Source organism: Homo sapiens, chromosome 16 (genome assembly GCF_000001405.40).
Source record: "Homo sapiens chromosome 16, GRCh38.p14 Primary Assembly".
Classification (NCBI taxonomy): domain Eukaryota; kingdom Metazoa; phylum Chordata; class Mammalia; order Primates; family Hominidae; genus Homo; species Homo sapiens.
In genome coordinates, this window is record NC_000016.10 from 56,188,512 (window position 1) to 56,203,230 (window position 14,719).

The window sequence follows — 14,719 nt, forward strand, 5'->3', positions numbered from 1 at the left end:
GTGTAGCAAAGGGAATGGCTGAGGTTGGAGGGAGAGTTATTCTCTGGACATCAACAATAATCTGAGAAATAAAATTCTGAGGATCATATAAAATAAAACCAAATAGAATCTGTCCTTGGTCTAAGCATCTCCCACTGCTGATGTTAGGATAGTAATTTCCTCATTCCCACAGGAATTAATTGTGAACAATTAAACACGTGGTATTATCTAATTACTAATAATTCACAGAGAACTGAGAGATTCTTATCCTCACGTCCTTTGGGGGAACCTGAATATGAGTGGGTTCTGGGGTTGTATGCTTTCTGTAAGTCTGGGAAGCACACTTTATATGTGCATATAGCATGCAGTTTCTCAGATAGTCCACAAACATGTGAAAGGAGCACTGGCTTACTACTTACAGGTAGTAGTAAGGAGAATAACTGTTCGTGACCCTAAACAGTGGCTCAGCTTCTTCAGCTATAAAATGGGTACTCAGGTTGATCTGTATTCATGGTCCAGGTTCTTTGCACTCAGCCATGATGCTTCCCACGCCATGTGCTTAACTGAGGTTTATGTGGGAGGATCACATGAGACAATTTTTGTAAAAGTGCTCTGTAAGCTGTAAAGCACTATACAGATGAAGCGGATTATTATTAGTCTTTTACGAAGCCCAGCGATAAAGATGCAAAGTGACCCAGAAAAAGAAAACTGAGTAGACAAACCTGAAATACAACATCTATAGCCCCTAGAACAGTTACCCTGTACATGGTAGGTAGGTGCTTAATAAGTAGAGTGAGTAAAGAAAAACGCAAAACAGGTTTGTGCCTCCATCATACTAGGTCTGATACCAAGAAGAAATAAATATACCTAAGGTCAATGATAGTTTCATTCAACCATACAAACCCAAATAATCCAAGAGCCTAAGATTTTAAATTAAAAATTACTTCAAAGAAAGAGCATGGAAACGTGAAATGTGACCCGGAATCCGCAATTAAATCGGTATATTCTTACCTCTTCAGTCTTTCCAACGCAGTCTTGCAGGGATACAGGACCTGGGTGAGGGTGTGGAGTGCTTCCCTGCACCTGGTAGATCTACATAACTGTTCCTAGCAACCTCTTGAGGAAATAATACATTCTATAGAATGTTGGGTACCTAAGCTCTCTGTTTTGGATTTGAAAGGCTGCGTTTTAGTGATTTTTAAGCCAAACAAGATTTATCCCATAACAGCCCCCCAAAAACACGCACAGAAAAGAAGAATGAGAGGGGCGGGTAGGTAGAGAAGCAGTTATTCACTTTATAAAACAATTCTCTATAGGATTCTTTTGTCAGTTTCCTAGACTATGTAAAATGTGATTCAAATTAAAATATTTAAATCACATACCCACATCTTGACATGGGCAGCTATTTGTAAAATGAGGCAAACCCACACTGGGAAATACCAAATTAAAAAAAAATCAGGGAAAAAATATTTTCTTCTGGGTGGCCCTAAACTGCTTTCTTTTTCCCCATTGCAAATGTATTTTTATGCTGGGTTACATTTCCAAAACAGGAGTGTTTTTTTTCTATCGTTGAAATGAAACAAACAAGTTTGCTTTCAGAGCTACAGAAATGCCCAACTGTTAGGAAAAAAAAAACAAAAAACCGTTTTCCACTGGCCGCTTGCCTCTCTTATCCCCATGCAACCTTGCCTATTGGCCCCTTTCCCTAGGAGAGCCCCTGGGGCTGTCTGATGGAACTGATTGTAAAACTATTTTGTGCAGTAAAAAAGTCGTTTCTTCAAAATCTGAGACCACCCAGAACATGCCCAATCTTTGGCAAATATCGACTGGTTTCCTCAGTATTTGACTAGCTGTACACCGAGTAACTGTCCCGGGTTTCTGGGTCTTTATCTGAGAAGAAATGAGGGGGAAATGTTTCAGAAGATGAAAAAAGGAAGAAAACCTCTCATCCAAAATCTGTTCAAAATTCATTTTGTGCGTTTCGAAGGGGGAGGACAGGAGAATTTAGTGCAAAGACGGCCTCCACCAAACGAAACCGTCCAACATTTGCAAAAGCTTTTAAAATAAACTGCTCAGGGATCAGGGGTTTGCTGGAAACTCCCGGTCGCTTGAAGCCCTGTCCCTCCACTCCGGGCACCCTGGCCTCCCCAGGGTGGGCACCCCTCCTGCACGGAGAGCGGCGGCTGGGATCTCGGAGCAGGGTCGGCTATGGCCCTGGAGGCAGCGGCTCACAGAGAAAAAGCTCTGGCTTTTCTCCGCCCGCTGCGTTCCTCTTCTTACAGCCTCGGGTGTCACATATTAGGTGCTCAATAAATGTGGACATAGGAAACGAAAAGTCCGAATCTGTCCTTACGCCCCCAAGGCGAATTCTGGGGCGCGCGGGTTTATTCCGACCCACTACCACATCGCGTTTCCTGAGGTAACCCGGCCTCGGCTCTGCGGCCCCAGCGGCTGGAGAGCCACGGAGAAGGCGGGCTACGGGCGACAAGATGGAGAGCCGGCCCGAGAGGGACAGAGGCCGCGCTGGCAGCGAGCTGGGGGGCCCACCTGACCGTCCTGCGGGCAGCCCGGCCCCGCGCTCCCATTGACAAGGAGGTCCGCGCCGCCGGCGCGTGGGGCGGGGGCGGAGGCGGGGTGGGGCGCCCCGGCGCGCGCCCGGCCCCACTCCCCGCCCCCGCCAGTCCCGCAAGCACCCACCCCGGGGGAGCCGCGGGCCGGGAGGGCGCTGGGGGGAGGGGCAGGCCGCTCCGCGAGCGCGTGTGCGCGCCGCCGCCGGCTGACGCGAACTCCGGCGCGCGCCTCCCCCGCCCCGCGCCCTCCCCGTCCCGGGGGCCCGGCGCGCGGCCCTGCTGACGTCAGCTGGCGGCCCGCGGAGCCGGGTGCGCAGAGCCGCTGGCGCACTCGCGCGCTGCGCTGGCCTCCTCCCCGCCCCGGGCCCAGGCGCGCGCGCGCTTGTTCGCTCTCCCATTTTTTTTTTCCCCTCCCTCCCTGCCTCTCTCTCTCTCCCTCTCCCTCGAGCTCCCGGCTGGCTGCGGCTCCCTGGCGCTCTCCCTCTCTCTCCGGTAGGCTCACCGAGCGATGCGAGCTCTGGGAGACAGCGACGCCGCCTCCCGCTAGAGACCTGCCCCTCGGCCCGGCCCCCTGCCCAACCCTGCCCAGCGCGCGGGGGTCGGCGAAGGCGCCGCGGACGCACCGACGGCTGAAGAGCGGCGATGCACATGCACTAGCAGCACCCCCTAACTCACTCCCTCCACATCCCGCGCCGCCGCCGCCGCCTCCTCCACCTCCTCCTCCGCCGCCGCCGCCTCCTCCTCCTCCGGCAGCCGCGGCAGCAGGACCCACCCTGCCCCCCACCCCACCCTCTGTCGGCTCCGGCTGCGGCTCCAGCCTCGACTATTATTTTATTTATTTTGGGTCGTGCACAAGCCTCAGTGCCTGCAGTCCGCGCCTCCTCGGCCCGCGGGCGCCTCCTCCCTTGGCTCCGGAGCCCCAGACCCCGGCCACCCTCGATTCGACAACCCCAGACCCCTGCCAGCTGCCGCGAGTCTCCGCTGCTGGAATCTTGTTAGCGGCTGTCTTTTTGGAGGGTTCTGGTTTCCCGACATTTTTGTTTCCAGCCCAGGAGAGGATATCGTGATTTTCCCCCCTTGAGCCCAGGCTCTGCTCTCTGGGGGGGTGGGGGGCGCTCCAAGCCGGGGAGCCGTGCCAGCCGAGTCGTGCGGGCTGTGGCAGGGAAGGGGCCACCATGGGATGTACTCTGAGCGCAGAGGAGAGAGCCGCCCTCGAGCGGAGCAAGGCGATTGAGAAAAACCTCAAAGAGGATGGCATCAGCGCCGCCAAAGACGTGAAATTACTCCTGCTCGGTAAGGACCGCCGCTGCTACCCCCATCCCCCGACCCCGGCCACTCCGCACCCCCTGCCACCAGCTCCCCCACCCCACTCGCGCCCGGGAGACCTGGTCCCCAAGTTGGCACCACCATGTGCCCAGGATCGCCCACCCCCTCGCATGCCTTAGTCCCCCCCTCCCCCTGTTCCCTTAAGCTGACACTCACCAGTTTTTCCCCACTGTCTGTGTCCCAACAGGGGCTGGAGAATCAGGAAAAAGCACCATTGTGAAGCAGATGAAGTAAGTCCCTGTGGCATTGGGATTCGTACTTTTATTAAGAATAATTTTTAAATCGTTTTTATTACATTGCTTACTCCACATTGCTCTCCAGGCCTGTTTTTTAATTCGTGCACACACACACACACACACACACACCCCTATATTTGACTCCCCTCCCCCACTCCCTACGTTGGTTCTGGGTCCTCCACCCTAACTCCTGGGTGGGTGTTTTTTGGGAGGGGGAAGGGGAGCGCCTGTAGTTGTATGAATGACAGTGTCCGCCATATTGATCAGAACATCACACTATTGGCATGATTATGATCATTACTCTTGCTTGTGGAATATTTTCTGTGTCTCACTGCCTCCATTTCTGTCTGTGTCTCTGTTTCATTCTGTCTCTATTTCTTTCTCCTCTTCCCTCCATACCTCCCTATCCCCCAAGGTCCGTAATCCCACTTCCCCCTGCTCTTTTCCTGGGGCAGTGATTTTGAACTTGGCTAACATGGAGGGGACCCAGCCCTAGACTGGGGTGGAGGATCAAGTGTCTGCTGTTCATGCGTTTGGTGCTGAATTGGAGGCTGTGGTTTCTACATCCCCTCGCACCCCCTCCCCCGCAAAAAAAGAGGGCCAGGGTTAGGGGAGGGGTCGTGTGCTAGGGGAAGGAGTGGGTTTCCAAACGTAGGTGACGGGCACAGTTTTATCCAAGGTAGAGGTGGAAGGGGGAGGGAAGCTGCCTGTGAGGCTGAATGTCCGCCCCTTGCTGCCCCCAGCTCCTCTCCTCCCCCACCCTCCCAGCATTGCTCTCCTGACACCCGCAGTTTTCGTTCGCTCCGTGGCCTTTATCAGTGTATTTATTTACACTCTGCATAGGCCGTGTTCCATGTAATCTACCCACAATGCGGATTTCAGGCCCCACTTGCCGCCGCCCCCTTCTGCCTTAGCTATCAGTTTCCCCTCCTAATTAACTGGGGGTGGATTTGAGTGATGGTTGAAAATTAAAACAAAATGGGATATTCCTTCCCTTCCACACTTTCTCAATAAGGAGCCTCGCCCCTCCTTTCCACTTGCAGGCTCGCTTCTTGCCCTATCCACTCGGCAGTTCCTGGTGATCCCACAGGCAGGTTTGCTTGGGGAGGGGGTGGCCGGCAGCGAAGGGGTGTGCGCCCTCCGGGCCTCCTGTTTCGGTTGGCCTGTCAGTTCGAGACGGAGGAGTTCGTTTAGACCGTTTAGCGAAGATTCCACGTCGCTTTGCTGTGACACCTTCGTGCACACACAGCTCCTAATTAGGGGTTGCTGTGCAGTAAACAAAAATGATTATTTTTCAACTTGACACAATAGCCGAAATAATTGCATCGCGTAGGGAAACAATGGAAAATAAAAACCCCTTTCGTGGGAAGGTGGGAGTGGGAGACGAAGCATGCTTGCGGTTTCAGAACCAAGATGCAAAAAATCTTGGATGTGTAACAGGCATGACAAGCGGGTTCTAGGCGGCGCCATGATGGTAGGGAGTAGCGACTCGGAGACAATTTTCCCATCTGCTTGACATGTTCTTATTTTTATTCGAGAGCTCCCTGGGGCTTTCTTCGCAGAGCCCCCCTTGGCTCGCCGCACCCTTCTGAGCCAGGGGTAATTTAGCTTGGGGCTTCTCTTGAGCTTGTGCAACCCAAATTGATGGGGAGGCGGGGCCTGGGGAATTGCCCTTTGCAACAAGGTGCATGTTGCATCTGTCTGGAGCCCTTGCAGATCTGTAAATGCAAGCCGCGCCACCCCTTTCTCCCGAGGGGGGACGTTTTAAAACTTCAGAAGTCTGTAATCAGCAGTGGCGGACTCGGAGCCCAGTAGAAGCCCCAGCCACCTGAGCTGGATGAGGTTTCAGGCGTTGCAAGTGGTGGACAGCGCCCAGCCGAGGCCGGAAAAGTCGATGGGGCTCAGTTCGGCGACGCTCGGCTAGGTTCGGTGCGGTCTGGGCGCGGGGCTCGGAGGGAGTCGGCGGTGTTCGGAGCCGAGTCGGTGCTCCGGCGGAGAGAGCCGAGCCGCTTCGGAGGGGGTCGAAAGCATTCGGAAATACTCGGGGGAGGGGAGTGCGCAGGAGGGGAAGGAGGAGGGGGAGAGGCCAGAGTCTGCAAATTAACTTTGCATCCGCCAAAGCAACTGCTTTTCCTGAACATGCCCCATAAATTAGGTTGATTTAATGAGAAGTTTAAAAATATATACTGAATCCCCCAAAGGGGTGCCTCGCCTTTTTTTATTCAAAGAGAGCTGAGCTCTCTGAGGAAATAGGTGTGCCACTTTAGGATGAAAATTCCTAATTATGTACTGGGCAGGAAATCTTAAATGAAGGCTGGATGTAGACTTCCCCAGGAAAGTCCTCTGTGTCTTGTATTTGGTTACACCGAGGAGGGGGGAAAATGAAGTGAGTGATGTTTGAGATTGTTAAATCAGAAATCAGAGCATTTCTTCTCTTTCCCTTTACTTCTCCTTTTTTTTTTTTTTTTTTTCCAACCTTACAGGACACCTTTTTCAAGAAAAATGTCAGGAAAACAGATTTTGTAGGTAAAACAATTTTTTTTTTAAAGCACAATACACCAACTCTCTTTAGGAAGTAGGGTAGGTCTGTTCAAAAGGTCCATCACAAAAGTTTCTGGTTCCTGGTTTGCCACAAGGGACCCTGGCGTCCTGTCCTCCTGAAGCATTCATGAATGGCAGTTTTCCCTGTGAGCCTTCCAGCTTGGCTTGAAATACATCAGATCAGGGCCTTGTGCCAAGCTGAATGCAGGACTTGTTTTGTTAACCACAAAATGTGGGATTGGTGTCACTGTATCCTAGTAACAAATTTTTTTGAGTCCTCCCTTGCAGAGATGGTTTTTGAGATGGCCACTTGACTGAGAGTCACTTTGAGTCAGGAGAATTCTACTGTGGATGGGGCCAGGCCCGAAAATCTAGGTGGCATTTATAGAAAGCAGTTTCCAACTTCCTTGTGCAATACAATTGGTGACCAACCTATCAGGCCATATGTACAGGTTAATTAGGAAGCTGTGTTGTTTCACCTGGACAGATGAAATTCAGCAGAAAGCCCTCTTTAGGTTACACCCTGTGATAACCCAGTGATTTCCTAATGGGGGGCTGCAGTCTAATAGCTCAGCACATTGGATTGAGAGGAAGAATGTGGATATTCAGACATCACTGAATAAAACTCCTTTTATTTAGCATTTCCAGAAGAGCAAAGAGTCATTCCATTGAGCCTGTGTTCTCATCCTTGTTGTGGTGTGCTAATTTGAAGAAACTGGCTTCCATATATTTCCATAGTAACTGAAGTGAAATAATAAAGGACCGGCTGGCAATTGCTGTTTAGAACAAAGGGTTAACATCTTCATCAGCCTAGGAACATTGCAGAGATACTGACATAAAGTTCTTCTGCTTGATAAGTGTTGTAAGGGGAAACGTGCATCTGCTTAAGAGATACCAGTTTAGAGTGTCATTTGAAAAGCCTGATTCTCAGTACTTATATTAAAATTTTTATTTGAACATAGTGTTTTGGGTTCCCCCCCCCTTGTGTGTGTGATTGTGAATTCGTGTGAGGGAGCTCTGTGTCAGACAATCCAAAATATTTCAGTACTGAGAAATAAACAGTGATAATTGAGACAGCACAAATATAATTTTATACATACCATGTGTGAGTAATCAGTGACTCTTTTTTTGCATGGCATTTTAAATAATTTTGCTTGTTAGGGGGTTGTGACCTCACCTGTGATACAGCCTCATCATTTTGTAGTCAGTCAATAAGACTCTGAGTTATTCAGACTAATCAGAAAATTTTTAAAGAATTGTCAATTTTATTTAATTGCCAAACCCTTACAAAGAAATCCCATAACAAGTTGTAATTTTATGAGGTGTAGAATTGACAGAATATCACTTTAAGTGACTTCCCAGTTCTGAACAAATAGTGACACCCACTTGGACCATGTACCTGGTGAAAATGTAAAATGGACTGCGGAATTGCTCTGGGAGCCACAGTTTGCCCTCATTCGAGGTGCTGAATTTTCTGTAATGTTGAGTTCAGGCTATCTGTCTCTGGAGCATTAAGTGGAATTTTTAGAAAGGGAGTTCGAAGGTGGCCATGAGGCATTGCATGCTAGCTGGTAGTCTTTACCGAAATGGGCACAATAAAATCGAGCACTTTGGTTGTGCGTCCATTCCCACAGTACCTGCTTAGTGCCATTTTAAAACAAATTTAAGAATTTGCCTGATGAAGATGTCATTGCTCATACAAATATTCCAGCCTGACAAGTGGGATGTGATTCAGAGAACAGACCCTACCCTGTCAGGAAAGGCTGTCTTAAAAGGTCACCTGTCACCAAAAAGCTGATGGCTTTTTCCTCCCAGCTGACCCTGACTTTGTAATTAGGGTATCTACTGTTTGGTATGGGTTCAGGGCAAGCTTGCAGTCTTCACTTGATCTTAGCCAAAAGGCTGAGAAGCAGTCAAGCTTGCATTCTTTCAGCACAATGCTCTTCAGCACCTACTAAATGACAGGCATTAATGGAGGTGAATAGCAACCTACAGCCATTACTCCATGAAAGTGCGTCCGTCTAAAAGGACATTTCCCACACTGGCCCCCAGGGTCGCACGTTGGGTTAGTATTCTACTGAGAGCCACTCTTCTAGATTTGTAGACTTGTTATTTCTGCAGTCATCTCAATGGCTGCTTTGCCTCCCTCCCTTCGTCCCTCTCTATGTTTATTCAAATGGATGCACCTTGCTCTCTGGAGACAGCAAGAGTGCGAACGGAATGTCAGATCAAGTAGCAGATGAGTTCTCTTTTCCTGATGGATGGTGCTCTCTCCCTCCTTACTGTGCACTGAGCTGTAAATACCAGCAGACCTTCCTGCCAGAAGAGTGGCAAATAGTCCACCCGATCTCCTCAGGAGTCAGCTGTGGAATTCTTGAGCCTGGGTTACCTATTGGATTCTAAAGTAGAACCTATATGCTTGTTGAAAAGGGTTGTTGCCAGTTAGATTAAATGGGTGAAGCTTCATGAGAACCAACATGGCTGGAAAAGAATGCAGAACGTCTGTTCTATGTGTGAACAGGGCTGGATTAGATTTACGATGCTCAGAGTGGGAGTGTGTCTTGTTTCTTTTAACACATGGAACTCGCAGATTATTTTGTGCTTCTTCACATGCCACATCTGCTAAAGATAGGACAAGATCACTCATGTTTTTCAGCTGCTCACAATACCCTATCTCCGTTAACACTGGAGATTTAATATGAGTAGAATGAGGCCCTATTTTTCCGATATGTGCTCAGCCCATCTGGATACTGGGACTTGACTCCCTGTCTCCTAGGGTGTTTTCATTCTCATTTCTTATGGAGCCAGACAGGCCATTATCACCAGAATACATCTTGATCTGAAAGACAACAGAAAAGCTGGTGAAGGGGTGATTCCAAACTGAAAAAAACAAAACAAAACAAAAAAAACCACATTTTGGAAAGAGTTACCCTCAGAATTGACACTAATAGAGAAAACTTTTGATTCTGAAAAAAGAAAGTGTGCCTGTTTGTACATACCCACAGAGTGTGGGTTTACAAATGGCAGATGTTGAGAAGAGCACTCACCTCACTTTCTTACTGATTGCATCATCTTAAAAAGCTTGAAGATGCTCAAATGAACTCCATCCTAAGAATTTCTTCAAATCTGTGTCACATTCTTATTTTCTTCCATCCCTCTCATTCACACACAGCATTGGTAGAAAGGAAGCTGTCCAACAGATCTGTGATTAGCACTGAGGGGAAGGAGAGGAGAGAGCAGTGGCTTGTTAACTGGTTCAGATAAATAGGTAGTTTCTTGTGTTTAGAGAAGCAGTTTAGCATGCTTCTCTAAAATTGAGAGTTGGTTAAGAGCATAGACTCTGCAAACAGGCTGCCTGGCTTCAAATCTTGGCTCTACTGCTAACTAAATATGTGACCTTACACAAGGCCCATAACATTTGGTGCCTCAGTTTCCTTACCTGTAAAATGGGACTGATAATGAAAATAACTACTAATAGGATTGTGGAGAGCATGAAATGAGTTAACATATGAAATGTGCTTTGAGTAGTGTCTAGAATGTAGAAATCATTATACAAATGTTAGCTCTAGTTTTTATTCCTTTGATTAGTGGGTGTTCCCTTCCCATGTGGAGTTCTCTTGTCAAGTAAGTATGTGGGACTTAGCCACCCTGAGAAGCAGAAGGGGGGTGCTGTGGTTCATGTTCATGGCTTCTTCCCCTTGCCTGCTCTGCAGCACCAGTTATATAACAAACTGTGTTGTCATAACTGATGTGACATTTTTGATGGCGCAGCTGCTTCAGCCCAAGAGCTGGGGTGACATTTCAAAGGGTGGGAAAGAGCACTGAACCAGGAGTCCAGGTCAGTAGCTCTGCCTCTGCCCCTCCGAGGGCTCGGTTTCCTGAAAGAGTTGGACCAGGGCTACCCCAGGCTCCCTTCCTGTTGTCAACGGTGTATGAAATTGGGAATTCCCTTTGTTTTCAGGGTCTTGATGTTCTCAATATTAAAGCATGAATTATGGTTTTATCCCATGGGGGTGTAGGGTATCCATGAAAGTTCTTTTAAGACTAAGTTAATTGCAGAATAGCAACCTCAGCCACAGAGCTTTGTCAGCCAGGAAATTTGTAGTTCTGAGAGTCAATTTGAGAAAAACACCTCTAACCAAACTTTTCATGCAGACATGGTTCTTAAACCAAAGAGGAGGATCTGAAAGTATCTCATTAGTAAGAAACAGGATGTTTCTGGGAGGAGAGAGCCAGTGACATTAGAAGAGAAGTGGTTTTTCCGTGGCTTCCAGGATGCTCAGAAGTGGAGACAGCCCTAGCGTTCACCAGAAATGGCTGCATATGAAGAAACTTGCCTGGGTTAAGGTGCCTAAAACCCAGGGAGCAGAGAGATTTGCAGACTAGTAAAAGGGGAGGCTCAGGAGAACTGTATTTTAATTTTGATTCACTCTCTCATTTAACTTTGGGCAGATCATTTGGCCACCCTGGGCCTCAATTTGTTCATCTGTTAATTGGGATGTGGGTTTTCACCATAGAATTTCTCAGGGCTCTTTCGGGTTTCCAGCTCTAAGATGCAGTAAATGCAAAGAGAAACTTAGAAGCCTGAAAGGCGGTGGGGAATAGTGGGAGTATTTACCACCCACAGCTTTTATCTGCTGAGCCATCTTTAGTTCTAATTTTCTTTACAGAGAAGAGGAAAAACATTGTGCTTTTCATAGCACCAAAAAATTAAAGTAAAATAAAATCTTGCAAGGCTAATAGTTGGTGCCCTGAATTTGGCCCCTTACTCTCTTGATTTGTCAACCATCCTAGAAATAAGTAGAATGGAGAAAAGAGAAAGGGAGAATAATACATAAGACTAGGATTTCATAGCTAACAATTTACCTTGGATTCTCTGCCTGTGTCTTAGCCAACAGATAGGTTTTCTGTAGAATATTGTTACTTATGAGAATAGCTTCTCCATGCTTTAAAATTGATCCTGGGGTCACCTGACCCCAGGGTCTCAGAGCACTAATGCATATTGCACATTGTGAATTAATTAGGTGTTTATTTGTCTGTATCCCTTGCTAGCCTGGGTGTCCCTTCCCACCAGGGCTCCCTGAAGCAAGGATGTTACTTATTTTTGCTCATAGTACAGCACCATGCCCAATGCCTGGCACAAAGGAGGTCTTAATAAACGTTAGTTAAAGAAAAGGAAGAATACGAGGTATATAAGGAATGAACCTTATTATTCTCCATAAACCAAAATAATCATGTTGAAAGCTTTTGGTGGCCATGGAATGTGTTCATCATTTTCAATCTATTATATTCATTTGTTTATCAACCTGTGAGCAAATATAGTCATCAATTCCATTTTACAGATGAGGAAGTGAGGTTCAAAGAAGTAAGGTGGCTTGCTCAAGGCCACACAGCTTAGTAGGTGACAGTGTTGTATTCAGACAATGATTTGTCTAATTCTAAAACCTGTGTTCTTTTCGTTGTAACTCCACACCTTTCTTACTAGACCACCCCCAGTATGGGCAGTAGAGACCTGGCAGTCTACGACCTCACACCCAGATGTTGATGGTGCCAGCTGTGGTTGAGGTCAGTGGCTGAGAGAATAGAAAGTGCCTAATTGGTGCTGAGTTCCTTCTGGAGGTGGTAGTAATGGTCATCATATATCACATTGATTTGGATACCAGAGTATTCCCTAGCAACCATCTGGACAGGCCTTGAAATGATTTTTCATTACCGCCTCAAAAATGGGGGCCATTTTCAGATTGCAACAGAGAGAAGGCTCTGGCTTTGGTGGAGGCAGGTGTCTTGGAGAACTATGGAAAGACAGGATGGTAGGGGATCCATCCATCTGTCCATCCATAAGCATTTATGATTGCCTATTTTGTGGGTAGCATACACACAGTGTCATGGAAGTAGAGAGGAAGGCCTCAGTCCTTGTCCTGAAGGAACTCATGGTCTGGAGGGAGCTACACAAAAAAGACTCTTGCACTTCAGGTAGGAAGGGCCACAATGTCTGTATACACAGTGTGCTATGGTAGAACAGAAGGCACCTTCTCTAGGCAGGAAGTTCAGGGAAGACAGCCAAGAGACAATGGCATGTGAACTGAGCCTTTAAAACAAGTGGTAGTTCACCAGGTCGAAAAAAAGGAATGCCAGGCAGAGGGACTGGCATGTGTAAAGGCATTAAGATGTCACCACATGGAACATGCTAGGAGTGTAAAATAGTTTGATTTGACTAGAGCAAAATATGTAAGAGGAGTGTTAAGAAATGAGGAATGAAAGATTGGACAGAAACCAGATCATGAAAGGCCTTATCTATTGTGCTAAGGACTTTGGATTTTATTCTGAAGATAATGAGATGCCACCTGAGGGTTGGCATTAGATCACCTACGTAGACTGGAGGAGATCAGCTCTGGAGGTTGGGAGACCAGATGGAAAGTTACTTCTGTGACCCAGTTGGGAAAAAGATTAAGAACTAAGTTAAAGCAGTGGTAGTGTGGGTGGGGAAAGGAAACAGATTCAAGAGATATTTGGGCAGTGGAATAATTGAACTTATTTGTTGATCAGTTGGAAGAGCATTGAGGAGGAGATAAATTTTAATGAGTATGGACAAAAATGAGTCCAGGATTCCTGGTTTGGGCTACTGGTGGATGGTAGTTAAATGCAGGAGGAAGAGAGAAGACTTGGGGAGAAAAGTGATGACTGCATTTGGTCATGTTGACGATTCTTGTGGATCATCTGAGTGCAGCTCCTGGTAGTGGGTCAGATAGGACACACCTGGGGAGAGGGGTCAATTTGAAATTCTGTGGTGCTTTTGAGTGGCGAGAGCCATAGAAGTTGGTAACCTTAGTAGGCTGAGTGAGAAGGAGAGAGAAGGCAGGCATGCGTCTCCCATCACACACACATTCCAGCTCCAGGAAATGAGAATAATTTAGGAAGAGGAACCTGTGAGGGAAACTGAGAAGGGGTGATCTGAGAAATGAAAAAGAAAACCCAAGGCAGAGTAGCATCATGAAAGCCAAGGAAGAAAAGACTTTCAAGGGCAGGAAGTGGTTAGTTGAGTCAGATATTTCAGTAGACAAATAAGATGAAGATTGGCAGGTGTCCATGGAGTCTGGCAAGTTGTTGGTGACCTTGGCAAGAGCAGTTTCAATAGACTGGTGGGAGAAAAGCCAAATTGCAGTGGAGTTAAGAAATGTGTGGGATTGAGGAAATCCATGAAGAACCCCCCTCCCAGCCCAAAAGAAATGTGGGCTACAGAAAAAAAGGAGTGAGAGGTAGGGAGGGAGAGAGCCCTCCTGGAAGGGCTTTGCTTTTATTGTTCATTTCTACATGGGAGTAGCTGGATCCATTGAGAAGTTATCCAGATCCCTGATGAATGGAAAAGTTGAAGGTATAGGAAGGAGGAAGTGGTAGAAGGAACACAACCCCTTAGGGGATGGGTAGCTTGAGCTTGACATGAACGTGCATCTCCTTCCCTAAGACAGACAGGAGGACAGTAAGGATGGGAAGTCTGTAGAGAAATTCTAGGGCATAATGATGAGGACAGGAAGTTGAGGGAGCTCCTGCCTTAGCATTTCTTTTCTCTGTGAAGTGAGAAGAATTAAAAAGCAGCTGTGCTTATTTACTGGAGCACCAAAGACCAATAACATTTATTCTATTAAAACCACTCATTTATTCATTTATCTAATATTTGTCTCACACCTATTATGCATTAGGCACTGTTCTGGGTGCTCGGAGTGTCAGTGATGAACAAATCAAGTCCCAGAGGAACCGGGTAATAACCTCATACACAAACAATCGGACGCAGTAATTGCAGACTGAAAGTTTTTTCTGGGGTTACACCTTTAGGGGAGGCCTCGTACTGATCACAGAGGGATCCAATTTCTGCCTTCAGAGAGTTGCACCAGTTGGAGGAGACAAATTCAATTCTCAAAGGTGCAGAAGAAGCAGTGATGGAATTTAATTTGGACACAGGCTCAGGATTAAGCTGGGAGGGAACTGGGTGGAGAAGTGAAAGTTGCACAGACACTGTTGTTTTACTCCACCGAGCTTTACTCATCACAGGCTGCTCCAGTGGGGCTGCCA

At 47.4% G+C, this 14,719-nt stretch overlaps 1 protein-coding gene and 2 long non-coding RNA genes across 6 annotated transcripts in view, besides 1 other annotated feature; 1 reads left to right on the forward strand and 2 right to left on the reverse strand.

Moving 5' to 3' along the window:
* The window catches only part of GNAO1-DT (GNAO1 divergent transcript), a 98,108-nt gene extending 95,525 nt beyond the window's left edge, over window positions 1-2,583 (reverse strand). The window contains exon 1 of the long non-coding RNA NR_027078.2: window positions 991-2,583. This is a non-coding gene — a long non-coding RNA (GNAO1 divergent transcript). The remainder of the gene's footprint in view (window positions 1-990) is intronic.
* GNAO1 (G protein subunit alpha o1) overlaps window positions 2,978-14,719 on the forward strand; it is a 165,956-nt gene continuing 154,214 nt past the window's right edge. For 3 of the 4 annotated variants that reach the window (XR_007064866.1, NM_020988.3, NM_138736.3), the window contains exons 1-2: window positions 2,978-3,842; window positions 4,063-4,105. Coding sequence is in view for 2 of the 4 variants with exons in the window: in NM_020988.3 (NP_066268.1) it covers window positions 3,725-3,842; window positions 4,063-4,105 (161 nt within the window). In the remaining 2 variants the exon portion in view is untranslated. Of the gene's footprint in view, window positions 3,843-4,043; window positions 4,106-14,719 lie in introns of those variants that run through there. The other variant, XM_011523003.4, reaches the window with a different exon arrangement.
* Window positions 3,611-4,184: an enhancer, noted in NCBI's record as "H3K4me1 hESC enhancer chr16:56226034-56226607 (GRCh37/hg19 assembly coordinates)". NCBI's record gives its function as "activates a minimal SCP1, AML or CMV promoter by ChIP-STARR-seq in primed H9 embryonic stem cells {active_cell/tissue: H9 hESC(primed)}" and the evidence as "EXISTENCE:reporter gene assay evidence [ECO:0000049][PMID:30033119]".
* Window positions 4,106-6,014, reverse strand: GNAO1-AS1 (GNAO1 antisense RNA 1). The gene has a single exon (NR_026889.1). It is a non-coding gene; the product is annotated as a GNAO1 antisense RNA 1 (long non-coding RNA).